General features: G+C 40.4%; 1 protein-coding gene and 1 long non-coding RNA gene across 37 annotated transcripts in view, besides 3 other annotated features; one reads left to right on the forward strand and one right to left on the reverse strand.

The window, feature by feature from the left end:
• PDE4DIP (phosphodiesterase 4D interacting protein) overlaps positions 1–22223 on the forward strand; it is a 224583-nt gene that overhangs the window by 49007 nt on the left and 153353 nt on the right. For 31 of the 34 annotated variants that reach the window (NM_001377392.2, NM_001350521.4, NM_001395298.1 and 28 more), the window contains exons 2-3: positions 5810–5865; positions 11031–11182. In NM_001377392.2, the coding sequence (NP_001364321.1) occupies positions 5810–5865; positions 11031–11182 (208 nt within the window). Of the gene's footprint in view, positions 1–5809; positions 5866–8973; positions 9093–11030; positions 11183–22223 lie in introns of all 34 variants that reach the window. The other 3 variants (NM_001395329.1, NM_001395328.1, NM_001395322.1) reach the window with 3 other exon arrangements.
• Positions 3284–3898: an enhancer, noted in NCBI's record as "NANOG-H3K27ac-H3K4me1 hESC enhancer chr1:145023082-145023696 (GRCh37/hg19 assembly coordinates)". NCBI's record gives its function as "activates a minimal SCP1, AML or CMV promoter by ChIP-STARR-seq in primed H9 embryonic stem cells {active_cell/tissue: H9 hESC(primed)}" and the evidence as "EXISTENCE:reporter gene assay evidence [ECO:0000049][PMID:30033119]".
• Positions 3899–4511: an enhancer, noted in NCBI's record as "H3K27ac-H3K4me1 hESC enhancer chr1:145022466-145023081 (GRCh37/hg19 assembly coordinates)". NCBI's record gives its function as "activates a minimal SCP1, AML or CMV promoter by ChIP-STARR-seq in primed H9 embryonic stem cells {active_cell/tissue: H9 hESC(primed)}" and the evidence as "EXISTENCE:reporter gene assay evidence [ECO:0000049][PMID:30033119]".
• Positions 8019–21644, reverse strand: LOC112268272 (uncharacterized). 3 transcript variants are annotated; one of them, XR_002958601.2, is made up of 3 exons: positions 13213–21637; positions 10546–10654; positions 8019–8992 (listed from the first exon to the last, which is right to left on the reverse strand). It is a non-coding gene; the product is annotated as an uncharacterized LOC112268272 (long non-coding RNA). The 3 variants fall into 3 exon arrangements; XR_007066544.1 differs by having other exon boundaries at positions 8019–10654; positions 13213–21644; XR_007066545.1 differs by lacking the exon at positions 8019–8992 and having other exon boundaries at positions 10400–12973; positions 13213–21644.
• Positions 11399–11899: an enhancer, noted in NCBI's record as "H3K4me1 hESC enhancer chr1:145015143-145015643 (GRCh37/hg19 assembly coordinates)". NCBI's record gives its function as "activates a minimal SCP1, AML or CMV promoter by ChIP-STARR-seq in naive H9 embryonic stem cells {active_cell/tissue: H9 hESC(naive)}" and the evidence as "EXISTENCE:reporter gene assay evidence [ECO:0000049][PMID:30033119]".

Below are 22223 nucleotides of genomic sequence, written 5' to 3' on the forward strand. Positions count from 1 at the left end.
TCACTGCAAGCTCCGCTTCCCGGGTTCACGCCATTCTCCTGCCTCAGCCTCCCGAGTAGCTGGGACTACAGGCGCCCGCCACCGCGCCCGGCTAATTTTTTGTATTTTTAGTAGAGACGGGGTTTCACCTTGTTAGCCAGAATGGTCTCGATATCCTGACCTCATGATCCACCCGCCTCGGCCTCCCAAAGTGCTGGGATTACAGGCGTGAGCCACCGCGCCCGGCCATCTTAGCCCCTTTCTTGCTGACATTATTTTAAATCATTTTGGGGGCTTCTAAGCTATAGTGTTTGAGGAGGGAGGTGCAAATGAAGAAACAATTTCACCCTTGGCTTCCCTTCATATTCCCACCTGAGGGTGAGCGCTTGGGGAGGAAGGCTTGAGGAGGGGGAAAGGTAAACAGGAAGTTGGAAGATGTCCTAGGAGGCAGTTTAGGGCTCCTCAGGGTGGGGGGAAGATGGAGCGGGGTGGTTGGGAAGGGGAAAACAAAATGAAAGCCCCCTGAACACACCGTTCATTTTCCTATAATTGGGTCTTTGTTATGTTTCCTTGTGTATTTACACCCATCCTTTAAGACCTAGATTCAGTGTTATCTGTTTTCTGTAAATGTCCTAGACCCCTCCGCCAACCACCCTGTCCCAGCCCACTCCCCACCAGGACAAAATTAATTGCTATCTTATTTATGTTCTGAAATCTCTGTTAAATCTAATTTTTCTAATAATTATCTCTCTGAATCATGTGCCTGCTTCCCTCAATAGATTCTGAGTACTTTAACCACAGGGTATATATACTTTTTCACCTTTGTATTTCCAGTACCTGGCATATAAGCAACTTCTCAATAAATGTTTACAAAATGGAATTATAAAAACCCTAAAAATAGCAATGAAGGCCCAGGTTTTCGCTCTAGGTATTGCTATAGCAGATTGTTTTTTCTCCTTCTGAATTTTTGTTCATAATAATAAAATATATATATATATATATAAAGAAGCTTGAAAGCTAGAAAACGCCTCTGGGAGATGGCCCTGGTCTTCAGGCTTAGAAATGTTAAGCAAGGGTGGTGGTTAGTGATGAAGTAGGAGGGCCAGACTATGTGGTTCTCAGAACAAACTAAATACCTGTGATTGGCCTGAAGAGAGGGCCTGAAAATCACCATTCCTTTGGGAGTTTAGACACTCATATGGGAATAAATAACCTTAGGTTAATTATTTTAGTAGGTGAGACTGGAGAGAAGAAAGTATGGAGCCTAGACAGGCATCAGTACCTTAGAAATAGTTTTAGTGGTGATTTTGGTCCTAGAATACAAATATCTCATACTGTTCAAAGACTCATAGAACCTGCTTTGTAATGATGATTACCATCTTGTCATTGCTTTTGAATGAGATGATTCATTCATATGATCTGTTGTTCCTCTCAGTCCACAAATTAGACAGACTAAAATACAAGAAAATAATACCAGAAATAACAGTTTACGGAGGAAGGTCTATACCTGCCTTATAGAAAATATCTCTCTCTGCAGGCTCCTAAGCAAGAAGAAACCCAAGTGTCTACCCCTCCCCACAATGTTATGAGAAACTAGACTAGTGGGACCAATGAGATGCTTGAATCTTGAAAGGAGCTATATCAGTGGCCAGTTTCAAGTAAAGCAAAACTGAGTGTTTTGGATAACCCTGGCCATAAATGAAACTACCATTCTTAGAAAATTACTGGAAGAAATCATCACAGGACAGTTTGAGAATGTCAGAATATCAGGGGGTGGCAGATGGCCTTCAGAGAAGCAATTATTTCCTGATCATTCTCAACTTAATCACCCTGGAAAGCCATAGAAAAACCAAGTAATATGGGATATTGAATGTTGATGTGTTATTTGAGTCTAATATCTTAATAGCTACTTATCAGCAACTCAAGAAAATATGAGTGATATACCATGCAGAAATCAAGCAGGTGAACAGCTTGTGAGTAGGTTGTACTTGGAAAATGCTTGGTACTTCCGAAAGCAAAATAATGTCCTGGTGAGAATATTAATATATGTGGTTTTAGTGGAATTGGTATTGTCATTAGCAGATTGATGACGTAGGGAGAAAGACAAGGTAAGACATTGAGGAAAAATATAGTTCATTTATACAGAAAAAGCAAAATTTTAAGTGAAAGCATCATGGGAGAAAGATTATATATGGAAATGCAGGAGAGCTAAAAGTGGCCTGGCGAACCACATATTAGCTGAGCATGAGTCATTCATGAATTGATATTTTCAAAAACTAGAGACACTTGAATTTGAGAAACTAGGACAAGGATATAAAATTTTTTTCTGAACTTGGGTAATACGAAAGAATGTACCAACATATATTACCACTTTGTGTGTGTGTGTGTGTGTGTGTGTGTGTGTGTGTGTATGTGTGTGTGTGTGTGTGTGTCCATGCTTGGAGTCTGTCTCTACCATACCCCAATTCTCCTTGCACTTTGGTTTATCAAATGTTGTCACAAATTGCAACCCCTTAGACTTATACTCTGTGTTTCTTCAGTCTGAGCCCCTTCCCTTGGGGAGCGTCAGATTCCTTTGTAACTTGTGGAGCAGCTGAGTGAGCCCCTTTCTCTGGCAATAAGAGAGGGAACTTGAGCTGTTAATAGAGCTAAAGTGATTTCTTAAAAATCTCCTGAGACACTGCGAGTATGCTTATTAACTCAGTACCCATCTAAAGTGACCTCTCTATCCTTCCAGTTATTGATTCATATCAGGCAGGCAGTGTGCTCAGAGTGGGTGTGGGTGATGCGGGAAGGGTGAGGTGTCTGGTAGGGCTGATATGTATTGCTGTGTTGTAGCTTGCTCTTGACCTATAATGTGCAATCTGCAGAGCAGAGAAGATTGAGTGAGATCATGTCTGGAAGGTATCCTGGATCCTTGGACAGTATTAAAATGGGTTTTATGCTTAAGCATCTATTAGAATAGAACTGCATAATTACTGCAAGGAACCTTAGAAAGTCATGTCCTTCTTTTATAAATATTAGAGAAAACTAATGCCCAGAGAGGTGAAAGTGACATGCAAGCCAATATAGTAGCTTGTTGCCACAAATTAATTAATTGTGTGTGAAGCCAATGGGTTTCTCAAGACTGTGCCTTAATAAAGCAGAAATGAAATTCTGTCTGCACTTGGTCTATACTGGGGTAACAGCATCAGAAACCTGCAAGATGCCAGGCAAGTATCATAATTAAGTGAATGAGGGACGACAAGGACAGGGAGTGGCAGGGACTGTGGCAAACTGGAAAACACATCCCTGTCCTGTGTAAAGGGGGCAAGTTCTCCCGCTGTGTGGGAAGGCAGGCCCAGTGTTGGCAGACCCACTCATTTCCCAAGAGCAGTTAGAAGTGGGTCAAACTTGTGTGGGCTAAATAAAACATGTCGGATGGGCTGAATTTGGCCTGAGGGTTGACCTTGCTCCTGACAGCAGATGCAGCCACCTTTGTCTGTGGACTAGGCAGAAATGCTCAGTGAATAGCAGCAGCTAAGTATAAATTTTTTCCCCACAGATTTTTTTAAGACATTGTTCTGGTTGATGGTTTTGACATCCTTCTCCTATTTTACCTCCACAGAGGGGAGTGCATACGTAGTACATTCCTCTTTGGCATTGTTTACTCTCAGGGAAAGCTTTTAAGGAGGAGAAGGGAAAGAGGCAGGGGGCCTGGAAGAATCACAAGCTGGTGATCTACTTTTGGATACGAAATAATTGTCAGGTGGCATGTGTAGCCCGATGTGCCCTGTCTGGTATTTTCATGTCCATCTGGGACTTAACAAAGTGAAGATTTCTGCCAAGATCCAGCCCTGAGGCAGGGAAGAAAAAACCACCAATTTCCAAGCAAATGCCAGGTCCTCCTCTGCCTCCCTGTGAATATCTTCTGGCTTTTAAAAAGAGAAGTCCTGTAGGCTGGGCGCAGTGGCTCATGCCTGTAACCTCTGCACTTTGGGAGGCCGAGGCGGGCGGATCACCTGAGGTCAGGAGTTCGAGACCAGCCTGACCAACACGGAGAAACCCCGCCTCTACTAAAAATACAAAATTAGCCGGGCATGGTGGCAGGCACCTGTAATCCCAGCTACTGGGGAGGCTGGGGCAGGAGAATCGCTTGAACCTGGGAGGCGGAGGTTGTGGTGAGCCGAGATCGTGCCATGCACTCCAGCCTGGGCAACAAAAGCAAAACTCTGTCTCAAAAAAAAAAAAAAAAAAGAGAGAAAGAGAGAAGTCCTCTACATCTCTGTTTACAGAATTCTTGGGAGCCCCCAAGAGTTTAAAGAATAAGCTACCTATTGAAAGCATCTTTCTGTAGGGTTATTGAAATCATCTGTTTCTGACATCCCCATCAGACAGTCAGTTGTCAAGACAGTAGATAGTCCCCCTTTAAAACATTAGTCACTGAGTCCGTCTTTCTTTTTGATTCACAAGACTCTAGTGGCTAAATGCCTCTCCATGTCTTGAAAGGCTTCAAACAGTCTGCGCCCCCTGCCCAGTCTTCCCATTACTTCCCTGACCTCACCTCCTACTGCTCACCACGTGCTCACTGCACCCAGCCACTAACTAGCATGCTCCCTCTTATGGGCCTTTGCATTTTATGTTCTCTGCTTAGAAGACTCTTTCCCTAGAGACCCCCATGCCTGTCCTTATGGCTTCATAGAGCAGCCTTGTCTACTGAAAATTGCAATCCCCTCTACCTCCTCCTACCTCCAGCTCTCCCTATCCACATTCCCCACTTTCCTTTTTTTTATAGCACTTGTTCCCAACTGCTACTATACAATTTATTTATTGTCTCCCCTTACTGTAAAAATTCCATGAGTGCAGGGATTTTTGTCTGTTTTGCTCACTGCTACATTTGTGGAGCTTACAACAGTGCCTAAAAGCACTTGTCAAGCATGGGCTTGAGAAGTATTTGTTGAATACATTTTGAGATACTGTCCCCTCTCTGCTAGGGATGGTGGTATTTACTATGCTGAACAGATACACCTCTTGCTACTGAATCATGGTGTTATTAACATTTCCACTCATAAACTTTGTCTGTTTTTCAAGGTTTCTGTGTCAATTCTACTTTCTAAACATATCTTAAATTTTTAAAATTTCCCCTTTGTTAAACCATCACAACTTCCTATTTGGAATATAGATTCTCACCATCCATTTTTGCCCCTCCACAGTCTCACTGTGTAGAGCCAGAATGCAGCTGGAATGACCTATCTAAAATATAAATCTGATCATTGCCATTCTTTCCTTAATTTAAAATCCTTCATTGATTTCCCGTAGCTTTTCACATTAGACTCAGTGGCCTTACCCCATACCACAAGGTCCTGCGTGGCCTGGTTGCAACATTGGCTTTCTTTGTTCCTCTAACAGGCCAGAGTCCTTTCTGACTCAGGGCCTTTGCTGTTCTCTCATGATGGAACACTCTTCCACTCCCATTCTCCCATTCTACACCTGGTTGACATCCTCCCATCTACGTTTAAATGTTCCTTTCCCTGAGTTTCTCTGAGTCCCTGTGCTAGTTAAGTTCCCTCTGCATTTTCCTTCACAACATTTACTACAATAGTAGTTAATTCTTGTGAAATTATTTAATGGCTGGCTCTCATGTACTTATTGAGAATAGGAACTCTTCTGTGGTGTTTGCCTTTGTATCCCTAGCACTTGACACGGTCCCTGATACATAATAGAAGCTTAGTAAATACTTGCAGAGAGATAAACAGAAATGACAAATAGGTAGGTGTCTTCTCCTCGATCCCTGGGATGGGAGCCTTGTGGGGTAGTATCTCATTAATTAATGATGTGTTTGCCTCCACAGAGATTATTTTGCAGAGGATGATGGGGAGATGGTACCCAGAACGAGTCACACAGCAGGTAAGGATGCTGTGGGCCTTGCCTTGTTAAATTCTTTGTTTCTTTTGTTTATTCATTTGGTTTTCTTTTGAGACAGGTTCTCACTCTGTCACTATGGATGTAGTGCAGTGGTGTGATCATAGCTCACTGCAACCTCAAACTCCTGGGGTCAAGCTATCCTTTCACCTCAGCCTCCTGAGTAGCTGGGACTATAGACATATGCCTAATTTTTAATATTTTTTTTTAGAGGTGGGAGTCTTGCTATATTGCTCAGGCTGGTTTTGAATGTCTGACCTGAAGCAATACACCCACTCCAGCTTTCCAAAGTGTGTGAGAGAAATTGGCACTTGGCCAATTCTTGGTTTTCTATTGATCTTAATTCTCTTGAATTATGGCCTCTTTAAATTCATCATGGCAATATCTTCAAACTTTTGTGAATTTCCAAATTTGCACATACTACTGTAGCAATTTCACACGAGAATTATAAGCTAGCTATAATTCTATGTACTGAGAAGCAGCATAGTACAGTAAATCATTACAGATACTTATGTGAATTCTTCATACTTTTAACGGTTCTGTAATTGCAAGGCTAAACTCACTTGTACAATGATTAAAATAAATTATGTTACTAAAATGAAATCTTTATCTTAATACACCATTAAAATGGGTATAATAGGCCGGGCATGGTGTCTCACGCCTGTAATCCCAGCACTTTAGGAGGCTGAGGCGGGCGTATCACCTGAGGTCAGGAGTTCAAGACCAGGCTAGCCAACATGGTGAAACCCCATCTCTACCAAAAATACAAAAATTAGCTAGGCATGGTGGCCCACGCCTGTAATCCCAGCTACACAGGAGGCTGAGGCAGGATAATCTCTTGAACCCGGAAGGCAGAGGTTGCAGTGAGCTGAGATCGTGGCACTGTACTCCAGCCTGGGTGATAGAGCAGACTCAGTCTCAAAAAAAATTAAATAATAATAAAATAATAAATAAATAAAATGGGTATAATGATAATGTTAATCTCATAGGTGAGATTGAGAAAAGCTTTTAGTACAGAGGCTATCAAGGAATAAGCACTCTGTATCTTATCTATTGTTACTATTAATGTATTCCTAACAACAGCACAATTATTACTACACTAACATTAGCCAGAGATCTACCTGAATTGCAAAACCAAAGGGAAGATAACATTCTTTTGGGGTCTATTTTCCACAAAACTTGTTCTCGACCTGAGGGTTTTACTTCCTTGCTAAGTTCTTTGCCTTTTTCATAACAGCCTGGAAGCACAGATTGTTTATATGCACAATTTGGAAAAAAGTTTTTAATTTGAATAAGTTAAGAATTTCAGAGTCACTTAAAATTAGTATTTGAAATGTGTGTTAAATCCACAAATTCCAAGGGTTACTGTGCTCAACATTTTAAATGTCAATATTCTACATTTTGAGGCAAAAATTGAAGGACTAGGGCAAAAATGTGAGGGGAATGGATAAAATGCTTACTACATATAATACATGTGGCAAGGTGCTTTTATTATTTTATTTAATCCATATAACAGTTCTATAAAGCAGATATTATTACCCCTGTTTTACAGAGGCAATATATCAGCAAAATTAAGAGATTTGCCTAAATTCCCACAATTAGCAAGTGGTCAGGATTCAAATCCAAGCCTCAAGGCATTGCTCTTTCTATCATAGCCACCAATCTAACTGTAATGTATTGTTATTCTGTTTTATCAGATTATCTTCCCCTTAGTAGTATATTTATTTTCACCTAAATGTGGAAGAAATCATTTTTTCTAATTACATTTATTTATTTATTTATTTTTGAGACAGAGTCTTGCTCTGTCACCCAGGCTGGAGTGCAGTGGTGCCGTCTCGGCTCACTGCAACCTCCGCCTCCCAGGTTCAAGCAATTCTCCTGCCTCAGCCTCCCGAGTAGCTGGGATTACATGCGCTTGCCACCACGCCTGGCTAATTTTTGTAGTTTTGGTAGAGATGGGGTTTCGCCATGTTGGCCAGGCTGGTCTTGAGCTCCTGACCTCAAGTGATCCACCTGCCTCAACCACCCAAAAAACTGGGATTACAGGTGTGAGCCACCATGCCCAGCCTCTAATTACTTTTAATTAAAAATTTTGCATTTACGTATAAACATTCAGAATATCACCAAAACAGGGGCAATATCATCATAATTATTTTATTATTATTATTTGCTATCACAGAGTAGTGTACAACTAACAGAACAATTATATTGGGTAAGCTGCATGAAAAACAATTGAAGAGGGAAAAATAATATCTCCATATATATGTAATTGATTTGTACTATGCACTAATAAAGCCTGCCTTAAATTTCTGTTCTAGTTTAAACCCCGAAACAGTACCAGGCAAGGTTAGTGGCTATTGAAAATATCATTAAGGACAGGGTTATCTAAAGACACACTGGATACTACATTAATTTTGCAAAAATAAAAAGACAGTATACAGTGTTCAGTTTAAAAACAAATCATATGATCTTACATTTCAGCTTTTTTTCTTTGAAATCAGTGGTGTAATGCGGAGTTAAATACTTTTAGGCAAAAAACAAACACATACACACACACTCACACAAAAACAAATTAATAAAACAAAAGCCTCTTTTAAAACCACCCTATTGACCATCATCATTTTTTTCTTCACCCTTTTCATCTTTCTATTCACCAATGTCTTTCCAGTCCTTTTTTTCTTTTCTTCTTTTTTCTTTTTCCAGTTTTTCCAACTTCCCCTTTCCCTGCATCAGACTTTCTTTTATCCCAGAATACAGCAATAGCCTTTATATCTATAATCTTAAAAGCCTTTCTTTCCTCAAGGCTGTATATTATCTGCAGCAGTAATTCTTCATTTCTTTCATTTCTCTCAGTTTTCTTACATCATCGCCAATGAATTAGCCAAGATGTTCTCCTGTGCTCTTTTGGTGAAATTTTCAGAACAAAACAAGAAAAAGGAGATCCCTTTGGTACATTAGAATCCTGGAACTTCTTTCTTCTCTCTCTTTCTCTCTCTCGTTTCCTTGTAGACAGAATATAGATTTTTGTTTCTTTCTTATAATGGGCCTGTTCACCTTCACCCTGTCTTCCAATTTTTTCTTTCTCTTTAGCAGAAATGAATTTCCATCTTTTCTGAACATAAAAAAAAGAAGAATTCTAAGAAGTTGACTGAAGCATCTGGGTGCTTTTTCTTGGGCTCCTTCTGGCAAGTTGGCAGAACGAAGGAAAGAAGGCAGGGAAGGAGGGAGAGAGGAGGGAGGGAAGGAAGGAAGGAAGGAAGGAAGGAAGGAAGGAAGGAAGGAAGGAAGGGAGGGAGGGAGGGAGGGAGGGGGAAGGGAGGGGAGGGGAGGGAAGGAAGGAGGCAGGCAGAGAGGTGGGGGAAAAGAGAAAAAATAAAGAAAGAGAAAGGAAGAAAGGAAGGAAGGGAGAGAGTGAGAAGGAGAGAAAGAAAAAGAGATAGGAAGAAAAGCATGCAAAGGCATTTTGCCTCTTACTCCCTTGGATCTCCTTTCCCCAAGTGTCTAGTTAACTTTTCCTCAGCCAGGCAGTCACCCAGTACCTGTTTTGCTCTTACTTGCCCTGACACTGTCTGTAGCGCTTAATGCTTTGCCATGACTGTCTTCTTATTTAAAAAATAGTTCCATAATAAAAGTTCATTATTTCCTTCTGTCAGCCAAGAAAGTATGTAGCTTTCTATGTTTTCTACCTGTCTGTAACTCCAACCCTGCCCCAACATGAGGTCCTCTGTGTACTTTGTTTGACAGAGGCTTTGCTTTCTCATTCTTTAACAATGTTACTTCTCAAAAGCAAGCATAGGGTTAATTACAGCTTAGACTCCACTAGGTTCTCCCAAAGCAATGCTTCCATTGGTTAATGGAGTGATTGAGTCTCTGCCTCTTTACCTGTTTTCCCCACTCTCAGACCTATTGCAATCCCTTTAATTGCTAAAATAACACAGTAGTAGCATACTGCTAAGAAAGACAGATGGAGAAAAGATGGGATTGGTTCTGCCACTTTTTAGCAATGTGATCTTGGTCAAGCAAACTTTCTGAATCTTTACTTATTCATCAGTAAAATGGACTTAATAATCACTTATGTCTATTTCACTGATTGCAGCGACTTCATAAATGAAATAATTCATGTGAAACTATTTTGTAACATGTAATGCCCTTTAAATATGTTGGCTGTTATAATTGTTACTATTACTAAATAGTAACCTGAAAAATTATCGGTAGAGATAGTTTGCTAGCAGCTTGGTTCTTTCCTTGAGACTGTTTTGGTTACCTTTTGTTATGTGACAAACCATCCCAAAACTTAGTGACTTAAAACAGGGGTCAGCAGCAAACTACAGCCCATGGGCCAACAGTCAGTTTTTATAAGTAAAGATTTATAGCCACACAGTGACACTCATGCATTTACACATGGTCTGTGTCTGCTCTGTGTTACAGGGTAGAGTTGAGTACCTGTGCCAGAGATGATATGACCCACAAGCCTAAAACACTGTCTGGTCCTTTAAGAAAATGTCTGCCCACACCTGGCTTAAAACAACAATGATTTATTATTTCTCACAATTCTGTTTTGGCAAACTGGGCATTATCGCTGCTGGTCTCACTTGGGATCACTCAACTGGCTGCAACTTTCTGATGGCTTGACTGAGACTGAAGGTCTCAGACAGCCTTGCTCACATGTCTGGCAGGTGGTGACTGTCAGCTGGGGCATCTTCACTTCCCTGAACAGCCTTTCCTTCTCCAGTGGGGTAGACCGACTTCTTCACAGCATGGTTGTCTTGGGATGCTAATAAGGCAAGAGCAGAAATGCAAGGCCTCTCAAAGCTAGTCTCTGGAACTCATACAGTAGCATTTATATCATATTCTGCCAGTCAAGGCAAGCCACTTTGCCAACCCAGATTCAAGAGTTGGGGAAATAGGCTCTACTTCTTAATGGCAGGAGTATCACATTGCAAAGGCCTATGGACCCAAACTAGTTTGATTCACTGGGGATGGCTATTAATATGATCTACCACAGACTACTTTAAGTAAACTGTTTCTATGTGGCCTAGATTGAGTTTGTATTTTGCAGAAACTGAATTCTGCTGGAATGTGCCAGTTAGAATGATCCTAGTGCTGTTATTATATAAACCTTTTTTTTTGTTGTTCTGTTTCATTGACAGCTTTTCTTAGTGACACTAAAGATCGAGGCCCTCCAGTGCAGTCACAGATCTGGAGAAGTGGTGAAAAGGTCCCGTTTGTGCAGACATATTCCTTGAGAGCATTTGAGAAACCCCCTCAGGTACAGACCCAGGCTCTTCGAGACTTTGAGAAGGTAAGTCATGTGAGTGGATAATTGTTATCCCAATTAGAAGCAGTACTATGGAATAGTGATGCCTGATAAAAATATGACCCATGGATTGGTCCGGATTATGGATGGTATTATCATTATGGTGTCTCTTTCAAGAGCATGTCCCAATAAACATATGCTCTGTCAGCTGTGTGCTGGGGGGTGTGGTTATGGACCCTTGCCTGTACAGCAGTCCCTCCTTTGGATGCCTCAAACTGCATAGTACTGAACCCTATATTTACTATGTCTTTTTCTATACATACATACTTAGGATAAAGTTTAATTTATAAATTAAATGTTAATGAGGCTAACAGTAGTTAATAATAACATAGAACAATTATAACAATATACCAGCATTACTACTCTTGCACTTTTACATTGTTAAGTAAAATAGGAGTTACTGGAACACAAGCGCTGTGATACTGCAACAATCTGATAACCCAGACAGTACTGAGTGACTAACTGGTGGGCGATATATACAGCCTGGATGTGCTGGACAAAGGGATGATTCAAGGGTGAGATAGAGTGGATGGCACGAGATTTCATCATGCTGCTCAGAACAATGTGCAATTTAAAATTTATGAGTTGTTCATTTCTAGAATTTTCTATTTAACATTTTCAGACTGTGGTTGACTGTGGGTAACTGACACCATGGAAAGCAAAACTGTGGATAAGGGGGGACTAACTGTACCAGTAAATGCTGCCTCATCACCTACACCCTTGGTTTACTTCTCAGATAAACTCAGGAAGTTTAAATGGCATTCTGAGAATCTGTAGCTGCAACATAGTGAGCCCAGGAGTCCCGGTCCAGCAGCTAGTATTAAATTCTCTGTTGCTAGCTTGGACCTCTCTCGATATCTAGGAATTGTCTGCAGTGTGCGGTGGCACAGTAACAACCATTTGTTTCTCAACAAGAATCTGATAATGTTGCTTGAACCTCCTGAACCAGTGCTGCATGCTCTGCTTCTTCATATGTTTGTCCTTAGATTTGACCAAAAACAATAACTGATAATGTAATACAGATTCCCCAGCTCCCTGTGAGCTGGGTTGAGCCCAGGAAGTCTGTACAAGAGAGCATGTCTACTGGGATTTAAATAGCCCAGAAACAGGCAGCCGGAATTTCTTATACTCTTGTGCTCTAAAAAAAAAAAAAAAAAAAAAAAAGGAAGAAAGAAATAGCTCTTTGGTGCCCCCTCAGGGATACCCAGCAAGCAGGTCCCACATAAATAATGTGTAAATAGTCTGTGAGATACTGGGGTTTCTCTCATTCTGGAATTGGAATTGATAACTTTTGACAGAAAAAAAAAAGTAAAATTCTAATCTCAAAAAATTTTGTGTTGACATGGGTTTACCCCATCTTCCCTCAATTTGTAAGTAGAAATATTTCACCAATACTTTCTGTACATCCTACCAGATATTTCTGTGGGCAAAGAATATGCACCATATAACGTGTGCCTAAGAATTAACAGCCTATTCTTCAAATTTTATGCTTAGCATTCTCATGTATACTGTGTGTATGTTTTTTTTAAGACATGGAGAGTTTGCATGGTAATCAAGAGGCTTTTGAAGACTAAACCTCCGAACAGCTGTGTGGTGCTGGTGGGGGAAGCAAGGATGCTAACACCCCAACCCCCTCCTTTTTTTGTTTTTTTTTTTTCACCTTTTGGATCTGCTGTGATGCAGAAAGGGCAAGCAGAGCTGCAGAGCTCCTCAAAACTGTGTGGGGTGCTCTCCAAAGGCCAGCCAGCCTGCATGTTCCTTTTCATTGAGAGATGACTGGAAATATAGAAGTGAGGGGTGTCACCTCCATTGAAAGAATGGGTGGCAGATATAAGGCCCAAAGTCCTTTTCTTTTAGAGTTTAGATCTAATATGACAGATTAGTCCTTATTTCTCGATGCTGGGAAACACTGACAGAAACCAAGCTAAGACGCAGGGAAAAGGCCAATAAGAGATAGTTTAAATCTCTCTCTGCTATGTGTCAAATAAAAAGTAAATAAAGAGGCTACAACCCACTTCAGGCTTGATCAGAAAGTCATTGCCGGTAAATCATGCAGTGTTGTGTCACACGTTTGTTCATTTTCATATCCATTCATCCATCCTGTGGACTCTGAATGACAGCACCTAAAATACAAAACGCCTCCATGAAAGGGTTTAAAAATTAGAGAAAACATTGGTTAGAAAAAATACAGGAGAGATAGGAACACATTCCTATGCCCTACCCTAAAAATGGTAAAATACTAAATAACATGGTATTTTCTGTAAAGTTTAAAATATGCATTTGGTAGCCTTGGGATATAGGATAGGTAGCAGTACTCAGAGAGAGGAGGGGACATGCTAAATGTTTTTTGCCAAAGTAGGGTTGACTCCTCCAGGGCTTAAAGACAAAGGGAGACAGGCCTGGAAGAAGCAGCCAGGAATCCCTTCTTATTTCATTTATCCATGCAACAAACACATGATCACATTAAATGAGATACTTTAGTTCCTGCCCTTAGATAGTTATAGTCTATTTGGAAGTACAGACATTGCATTAAATACAATATAGCATGGCAAGTGCTTTCATAGAGATAAGGACAGTACACTCTGAGATCTTGAGAGAAAATGTCTACTTTTATTAAAGGAGTAGGGAAAGGCCTCTTACCAGAGGACATTTCTCCTGGGGGCTTCACGTTGAGCAAGGTCTCCAAAGCTGAGTTAGATTTTACTAGTCAGGGAAGTAGAGTATAATATTCCAGACAGAGGGGAGATTTGGGGGAAGGAAGAGAGATATGTTCAAATAAGAGACTGGACTATAGAGAGGTAAGAAAAAGAGAGTTAGAACAGGAGAGAAGTAATACTAAAAGTACTCAATCTGTCAAAAGTAATTATAATTGTTCAGTAATGCAGTTACCTCTAAAATGTTTGCTGATGTAGGAAATTCTAGAGAAAAAAGGCTCTTTGATTACAGGGAAAGAGATAACAGACTAAAAATGCAAATACTGGCACATTATGGAACCAAAACATAATTAGTCAATTAACAAGCGAAAGTGACAATTATCATTTATGTTGGTGTAGAAAAAAGGGACAAAGAAAGCAACATTTCCAACATACAACAGTGTTTCTTTTCTTTCATTCTCCACCCACAACCAACAGCATGGTTGTATGTGTATACAAACTCCAATTGTATGTTTGTCAGGTTGAGGTCAATAGGTATTACACTCCATGATGAAAGGAGGGCATTGCTTAGCATATATGCTTCATTTGTATTTTTGAATGAGTGAGTGATTTAATTAATTTCCCAACCTTACCAACTTCGTTATGTAGGCGCTTTTCCCCACTCAGAGAATCCACTGATGAAGGGATTCTCTGTGGGTTTAGTGTATTGAGCAGTGGGTTTAGTGTATTGAGCAGTGGGTTAAGTGTATCTCATAAGTTGTTTTATTTTGTCTTTATAAGACACGGAACAAGCATCACTCTCCCCATTTTTTAAGTGAGGGAACCAGGACTCACGGAAATTGTGACTTTTTCAGGGCCATAAGTTTATGTACCATGATCATAAATCTGAACACATTATTGGATCAGAAATAAATTTTACCTACAAATGGTCACAATGATGTGTTGAGAAAAATCCCTTGCCCTATGCTTTCTCGCTGATCACAGCACCCAGCTGCAGCATCTCTGGAATGAGCAAGACTTCAGCAGCACATACATAATACTGGCTAGCATTTGATGATCACTTTCTATGTGGCAGATATTGCTCTAAGTATGTGACAGCATGATCTCATTTACAACAACCTTGTGAAAAGGCATGTTCACCAGTTAGAATGGCGATCATTAAAAATCAGGAAACAACAGGTGCTGGAGAGGATGTGGAGACATAGGAACGCTTTTACACTGCTGGTGGGAGTGTAAATTAGTTCAACCATTGTAAAAGACAGTGTGACAATTCTTCAAGGATCTAGAACTAGAAATGCCATTTGACCCAGCAATCCCATTACTGGGTATATACCCAAAGGATTATAAATCATTCTACTATAAAGACACATGCACACGTATGTTTATTGCAGCACTATTAACAATGGCAAAGACTTGGAACCAACCCAAATGCCCATTAATGTTAGAATGGATAAAGAAAATGTGGCACATATACGCCATGGAATACTATGCAGCCATAAAAAAAGAATGAGTTCATGTCCTTTGCAGGGACGTGGATGAAGCTGGAAACCATCATTCTCAGCAAACTAACACAGGAACAGAAAACCAAACACCCTATGTTCTCACACATAAATGGGAGTTGACTAATGAGAACACATGGACACAGGGAGGGGATCATCACGCACAGGGGCCTGTCAGGGGCTGTGGGGCAAGGTGAGGGATAATATTAGGAGAAATACCTAATATAGATGACGGGTTGATGGGTGTGGCAAACCAACATGGCACACGTATACTGTGCAACAAACCTGCACGTTCTGCACATGTATCCCAGAACTTCAAATATAATAAAAAAAAGAAAAGCCATGATTATTATTCCAGTTTACAAATGATGAACTAATGGCAAAAAGAATAACAAAGGAACTTGTCCAATAACTCATGATTGAGCCTGAAAACACCTGATGTCTTTGTGACCTAAAGATAGTGGGCATGTCCTATGTTGGGGAACTCAGCTGGTGAAAGTTTGGTGCTAATGAAGGTGTTGGCTTATTTGGAAATGGAATCACTAGTTCCTCCTATTTAGATTGATGCAGATTGAAATCCTACCAGATTCCTGCCTCTCTAGGTAAACTGTAAATCCACTTTTGTCTTCCAGTATTCTCTATTACATGATTTTTACTCTATTAATTCTGAACTGCTTGCAATTCAAAGCTGTTTCATACTTTCATTTATTTGTACCTGCTGTTCCCTCTGCCTTGAAAACCTTTTCTCTCCTATTGTTTATTTGGTTAAAGTTTACTCATCCTTCAAGATTCAGCTCAGGTGCCTTTTTAAATTTATTTATTTTTTAATTTTAGGATGCCTTCTCTTACTCTCTAATCCCAGAATATATACCAAGACTCTAAGCTCCTTGAGGGCAGAAAACACCTCTTGCCCATTCTTTTCTAGTCTCTAGAATATAGCATAATGTAGTACATAGTAAGTGCTCAGTAAATATTCATCAACTAAACTAGCTGAAAAGTATTAAAAATTAGATATCCTATTGGATTTGTATCTCTTCTGCCTCTACCTGGTATTCACAATAAGTTGAATAGTTTTAAGGAGGGTATTGGTGTGTTAGTTGATTGGGTAGGATGGGAAACTAGGAAGTCAAGAAATGTACATTTCTTTTCCACTTTATTTTTTTATTGTTCATTTTTTTTGAGAAGGAGTCTTGCTGTGTCACCCAGGCTGGAGTGCAGTGGTGCAATCTCAGCTCACTGCAGCCTCTGCCTCCTGGATTCAAGCAGTTCTCCTGCCTGAGTAGCTGGGACTACAGGCTCCCGCCACCACACCCGGCTAATGTTTTGCATTTTTAGTAGAGATGGAGTTCCGCTATGTTGGTCAGGCTGGTCTCCAAATCCTGGCCTCAAGTGGTCCACCCTCCTTGGCCTCCCAAAGTGCTGGAATTTCAGGCGCGAACTACGCGCCTGGCCTCTTTTCCACTTTAAATGGAATGATAAAACTAAAAATGAAAAGGACGGGAGAGAAAGAGTCTTTTTGAAATAATATTTGACAGGATTTATTAAGAAGATCACAATAGTAGCTAATAACAATAAATACTATTTGAGTGCTCATTATGCACCAGGTACTTTTCTAGATATTTGACATATTTAATTTAGTGTATTTTCAGTTCATTTTCCTAACTTATGAGATAGATATTATTTTTACAACCATTATACTAGTGAAGAGATCAAGGTTCAAATAACTTGCCCAAAGTTATATAAGAATAAAGTAACGGAACCACTGTAACTCCAATGATTCCAAAGCTCTTGGGGAAATGAAAGGACTCTCAGAGAAGGAGAGCATTACATTGGTGGAATGCCTGCATTTGGGTTTTTTACATAGAATCAACATGGCAGACGGTACAGAAAAGCCACGGAAGGGTGGGAGTCTTTGGCTATAAAATCAAGAGGGGGCCTCCACTGCCCTGTCCTGTTTACACATTTTTCTAATAATGTTGTCTTTAACAAGAAAATATCATCAAAACCAGCTGTAGTGTATGCCTAACTGTACTCTGCAGCTTTCCTTGGCAGTCTGAATCTAACCGCAGTGAGTCAGCCTGTTCAGGTCCCACCCATCCTGGTGAACTTTTCCACTTGAATCTTGAAGTCTTTGGGGAGAAAAAAGGAAAAAAAAAGTGCTAAAAGCAGAAGGCTTTTTCATTTTGGGGAGTTTCTGGAGCTCTGAGTTATCACAGTCTGGGTAACCTGTGCTAATTTAGGTTAATTGGGGTCCTGTCACTGCCCTCTTTATGTTCCACAATTTTGGTGCTTCTCGAGTGTTTCTCTCTAATTACAGCCTTGGAAAATGAATACTACTAGTGAAGTGCATTTTTATTTAAAAAAAATGCATTCATTCTTCCAAACCACAGTGTCCCAAACATACTGGTTTTGTTTTCACTGGTATCTTAAGACATTCAAAAAGTTACTAGGAGGCAGGGGGTAAATATTAAACTTTCAGCAATCACAAGTGCAGTTTGTTTTCCCTTTTCAATCTCATGTTTAAAAAGGGAAACAGAAGGCTTCCACACACAGGCATTCCACAGACTTTCCATGCAAAGTTTTCTTTCCTAAGCAACATTACCAAAGATATGAATCAAATCAATTACTTTTTTTCTTATAGAACTACAGAGTAAAAGGAATGCTTCTGAGTGCTGTAGAATATACAAAGATGGACATGAGATTCCATTCTCAAAGAATGTACAATCTGATTGGGGCATAAAAAAATTTAAATTATACAAGATTTAATTTAAATAACATCTAAGGCAATATTGAAAGAGATATTTCAAGATGGGAGTACTTGCCAAACTAATGTATGTTTTTAAAACTTAAATATGGCGAGGTGTGGTGATCATGCCTGTAATTGCAGCACTTTGGGAGGCTGAGGTGAGCGAATCACCTGAGGTCAGGAGTTCGAGACTAGCCTGGCTAACATGGTGAAACCCCATCTCCATTAAAAATACAAAAATTAGCTAGGCATGGTGGCACACGCCTGTAATCCCAGTTACTCAGGAGGCTGAGGGAGGAGAAGCGCTTGAACCCAGAGGGCAGAGGTTGCAGTAAGCCGAGATCGAGCCACTGCACTCCAGCCTGGGCGACAAAGCGAGACTCTGTCTCAAATAAATAAATAAATCTTAAATACTGGGATAGAACATTTTTTCTAATTTGTGCACGCGCGTGTGCGTGTGTAAACTTTTCAAAGTTGTAAATATTAGCTTACATTTGGTCATGCAATTAATAAAGAAACTTTATCAAAAAGAATGAAATTACAAAAGTTGGACAACCCTGAACATTCTGAAAGGTATGATTACCAACACAGAAAAGAGAGCAACCACTTTCACAGAGAATGTAGCACTTGAATTAGAATAATTCTTTTCGTAATTTTAAATTATCTCCTTTCTGTCTCCTCATTAAAACTTGTTTTCTTCTCTTCTCCCGTTGTTCGAAGAGAAGCCCTATCTTTCTTTCTGTGGACTTTGCAAAGTTTCCATTCTAATGATAATTTCCATTCCAATACTAAATTTAAAAAATAGCAACAAAGATCATGATACCAATTAATATTTGTAAGTGCTTACAGTGTGCCAAGTTCTGAGAATGCACTTGACCTTATTATCTTATTCAGTTCTCCTAATAGTCTTTTGAGGTTGGTACAACCATTGTCTTTGTTTGTAGAGAGACACTGAAGCTAGGAAAACACTAGTAATTGATGGCAAGTGCTGGAGCTGGGATTTGGACATAAGTGTACTGGTTCTAGTGCCTAAACTCTTAGCCACAATTTTATTATGCTTACTGATAGCTGACCCCCTTATTCATTTGTTTGTTAATCCACTCATCCATTTATGAGTGCATCGTGGGTGCCAGGCCATGTTCTAGCTGTTAGTTGCACAATGATCAAGAATGAATGTATGAAAATATGTATTTTCGGCCGGGCGTGGCGGCTCACGCCTGTAATTCCAGCACTTTAGGAGGCTGAGGCAGGCGGATCACCTGAGGTCAGGAGTTCGAGACCAGCCTGGCCAACATGGTAAAACCCTGTCTCTCCTAAAAATACAAAAATTAGCCAGGTGTGGTGGTGCACACCTGTAATCCCAGCTACTCAGGAGGCTGAGGCAGGAGAATCGCTTGAACCCAGGAGGCAGAGGTTGCAGTGAGCCGAGATTGCCACTGTACTCCAGCCTGGGTGACAGAGCTAGACTCCGTCTCAAAAAAAACAAAAAAAAAGAAAATGTATGTTCAAGGATGAGTGTTTATATTTCAGTATTCTCTATACCAATACAATATTAGTACTCAAGGTGAGGATTATTTCAAGTGTGGAATATATATACAATAGAACATTATAGAGCAATGTACTGACTTGGGAGGATGTCCATTATAACAAATTTAAGATTAAACAAAACAACGGCAACAGCAATTTGACTGAATATTACAAAAAATAAGATCTCATTTTTGAGGGAGAAAAGATGGAAATGTCTGGAAGGATACATACCAAAACATTGATATTGATTATGTCTGGATGATGGAATTAGCCTATTGCCTTCTTTATAACTGAGTATTATATTTATTTTAATTATCTATTCATTGAAAAAATATTCTAGGGCTTTTACTATGTGCAGCATACCTTAAGCATTGCAGATACAATATTGAATAGGCAAACATGGTTCCTGCCTTCATAGAGTCTACAGATTAGCAAATTCCAACAGAATGTAATTATTATTGTAATAGAAGTAAAGAGTGCTATGGAATATATAACTGGGCACTTACTCAATCTGAAGAGATTGGGGGATTCAGGGAAAGTTTCCTAGAGGAAACTGCATCTAACCAGGGTCCTGAAGAAGGAATAAGAAGTAGCCACTAATAAGGGGGTGGTAGTGTGAGAATGAAGAATGTTCCATGCATAGGAAATAGCTTGAATCAAGATCCCGATGAGAGAAAGAACCATAGTCAGTATTCCTAGAGAATGGGATGTAAGGAATGCAGAGAACTGAAACCAGAGAAAAGAGAGAGGAGTCATCATACAGAGTCTTGCAAGTTATGTAAAGGCTTTTAAATTTTATCTGAGCTCAAGGGAACTGCTGAAAGCTTTTAGACAGAGAGGTGACATGATCAGATTTTCCTCTTAGAAAGATCCTTTTGGCTTCCTTATGGCCTCTGCATAGGAGGAGTAGTCTAGAGGCAGAGAAAACAGTTGCAGTATTCCAGGCAAAGGTTGGTGGAGATGCCAGTATAAAAATTAGAGAAATGGACAGGTGAAAGAAATTTCAGAGGCAGAATTGATAGAGCTAAGCCATTGACTGGATGTAGAACCAGTGAGGCTGAAGAAACCCAAAGACGACTGATCACCAATTCATCTCTTCACTCACATCCTACCCACTGTCACCTTGTCGTAAACTTCCAGACTACCTTCACCTCTCTCTTCAATAACGTGAGTTATTTGTTCAAAGTCTGCCTTTTCTGTTAGAACATGAGCTCACTATAGCAGGGACAGTGGTTGTCTTTTCACTTCTAGATACAGTGATTAGCATAATGCCTGGTACATAGTAGGCATGCCCTTTTCTTTTCTTCTTTTTTGTTTGTTTTGAACGAATAAATGATGTCAAGTTTTCTTGCTTGGTCAACTACTAGGTTATGCCCTCCACTGAGAAAGAGAACAACTGGAACAGACAGGCACATGTAGTACTTTTATGACCACTGAAGCAACAGCAACACAAACAAAAAACAGTAAAGCGATTTCTGTTTTTGGAAGAAAAGTAAAGAAGATTCTTCCTGTTGTTAAGGAACTCCAGATCTACTGGGGAGAGAGTCAAACAGATAATCCCAATATACTGTGAAATGGGCCACAATAAGAGTAGGTCCGCAGTGCTGTGGAAGCATTCAGGAGAAGCCCTTGCCCAGGCATTAGGGCCAGATAGGTTTCTTTTAGTAGGTAATATCTGACTTAGATCCTTATGGGTGAGTTGGGATTAGTTAAGTGAGAGATGGGTGGGAATTAAAGAGAAGTGAAATTCTAGGCTAATGCTGCTACCCATGCAAAGTCCTGGAGGCAGCATGAGCCTGGTGAATTCAGAAATAGGAGGCTTTCTGTCATGGATGGAGCAAGGGAGGGTCAATCGGGGTTCATGTTGGCTCTATCTTTTCCCTTATCCCCCTACTTCTGGTCAAGGCATTATTGTTGCAGCCATGGGCATTCATGGTATCACTGTGGACTCTTGGTTTTTGGTTTTGTTTTGTTTTTTTTTTTTTTTAGACATGGTCTTGCTCTGTCATCCAGACTTGAGTGCAGTGGCACAATCTTGGCTCACTGCAGCCTCGACCTCCCGGATTCAAGTGATCCCCCACCTCAGCTTCCTGAGTAGCTGGGACTACAAGAACATACCATCACGCCTGGATAATTTTGACTTTTTAAAACTTTATTTTATTTATTTATTTGAGATGGAGTTTCACTCTTGTTGCGCAGGCTGGAGTGCAATGGCGTGATCTCCACTCACTGCAACCTCTGCCTTTCGGGTTCAAGCGATTCTCCTGCCTCAGCCTCCTGAGTAGCTGGGATAACAGGCATGTGCCACCACACTGGCAAACTTTGTATTTTTTGTAGAGACGGGGTTTCTCCATGTTGGTCAGGCTGGTCTCGAACTCCTGACCTCAGGTGATCCACCCACCTTGGCCTCCCTAAGTGCCACTGCGCCTGGCCTGTTTTTTTATTTTTTGTAGAGATGGGGTCTCACTGTGTTGCCCAGGCTGGTTTCAAGCTCCTAGCCTCAAGCAATCCTCCTGCCTTGGCCTCTCAAAGTGTTGGGATTGGCATCTCAAAGTGTTTGAGCCACAACACCTGGCAACTCTTAGCTCTTGTGGCCAGAG

Source organism: Homo sapiens, chromosome 1 (assembly GCF_000001405.40).
Source record: "Homo sapiens chromosome 1, GRCh38.p14 Primary Assembly".
Lineage (NCBI taxonomy): Eukaryota > Metazoa > Chordata > Mammalia > Primates > Hominidae > Homo > Homo sapiens.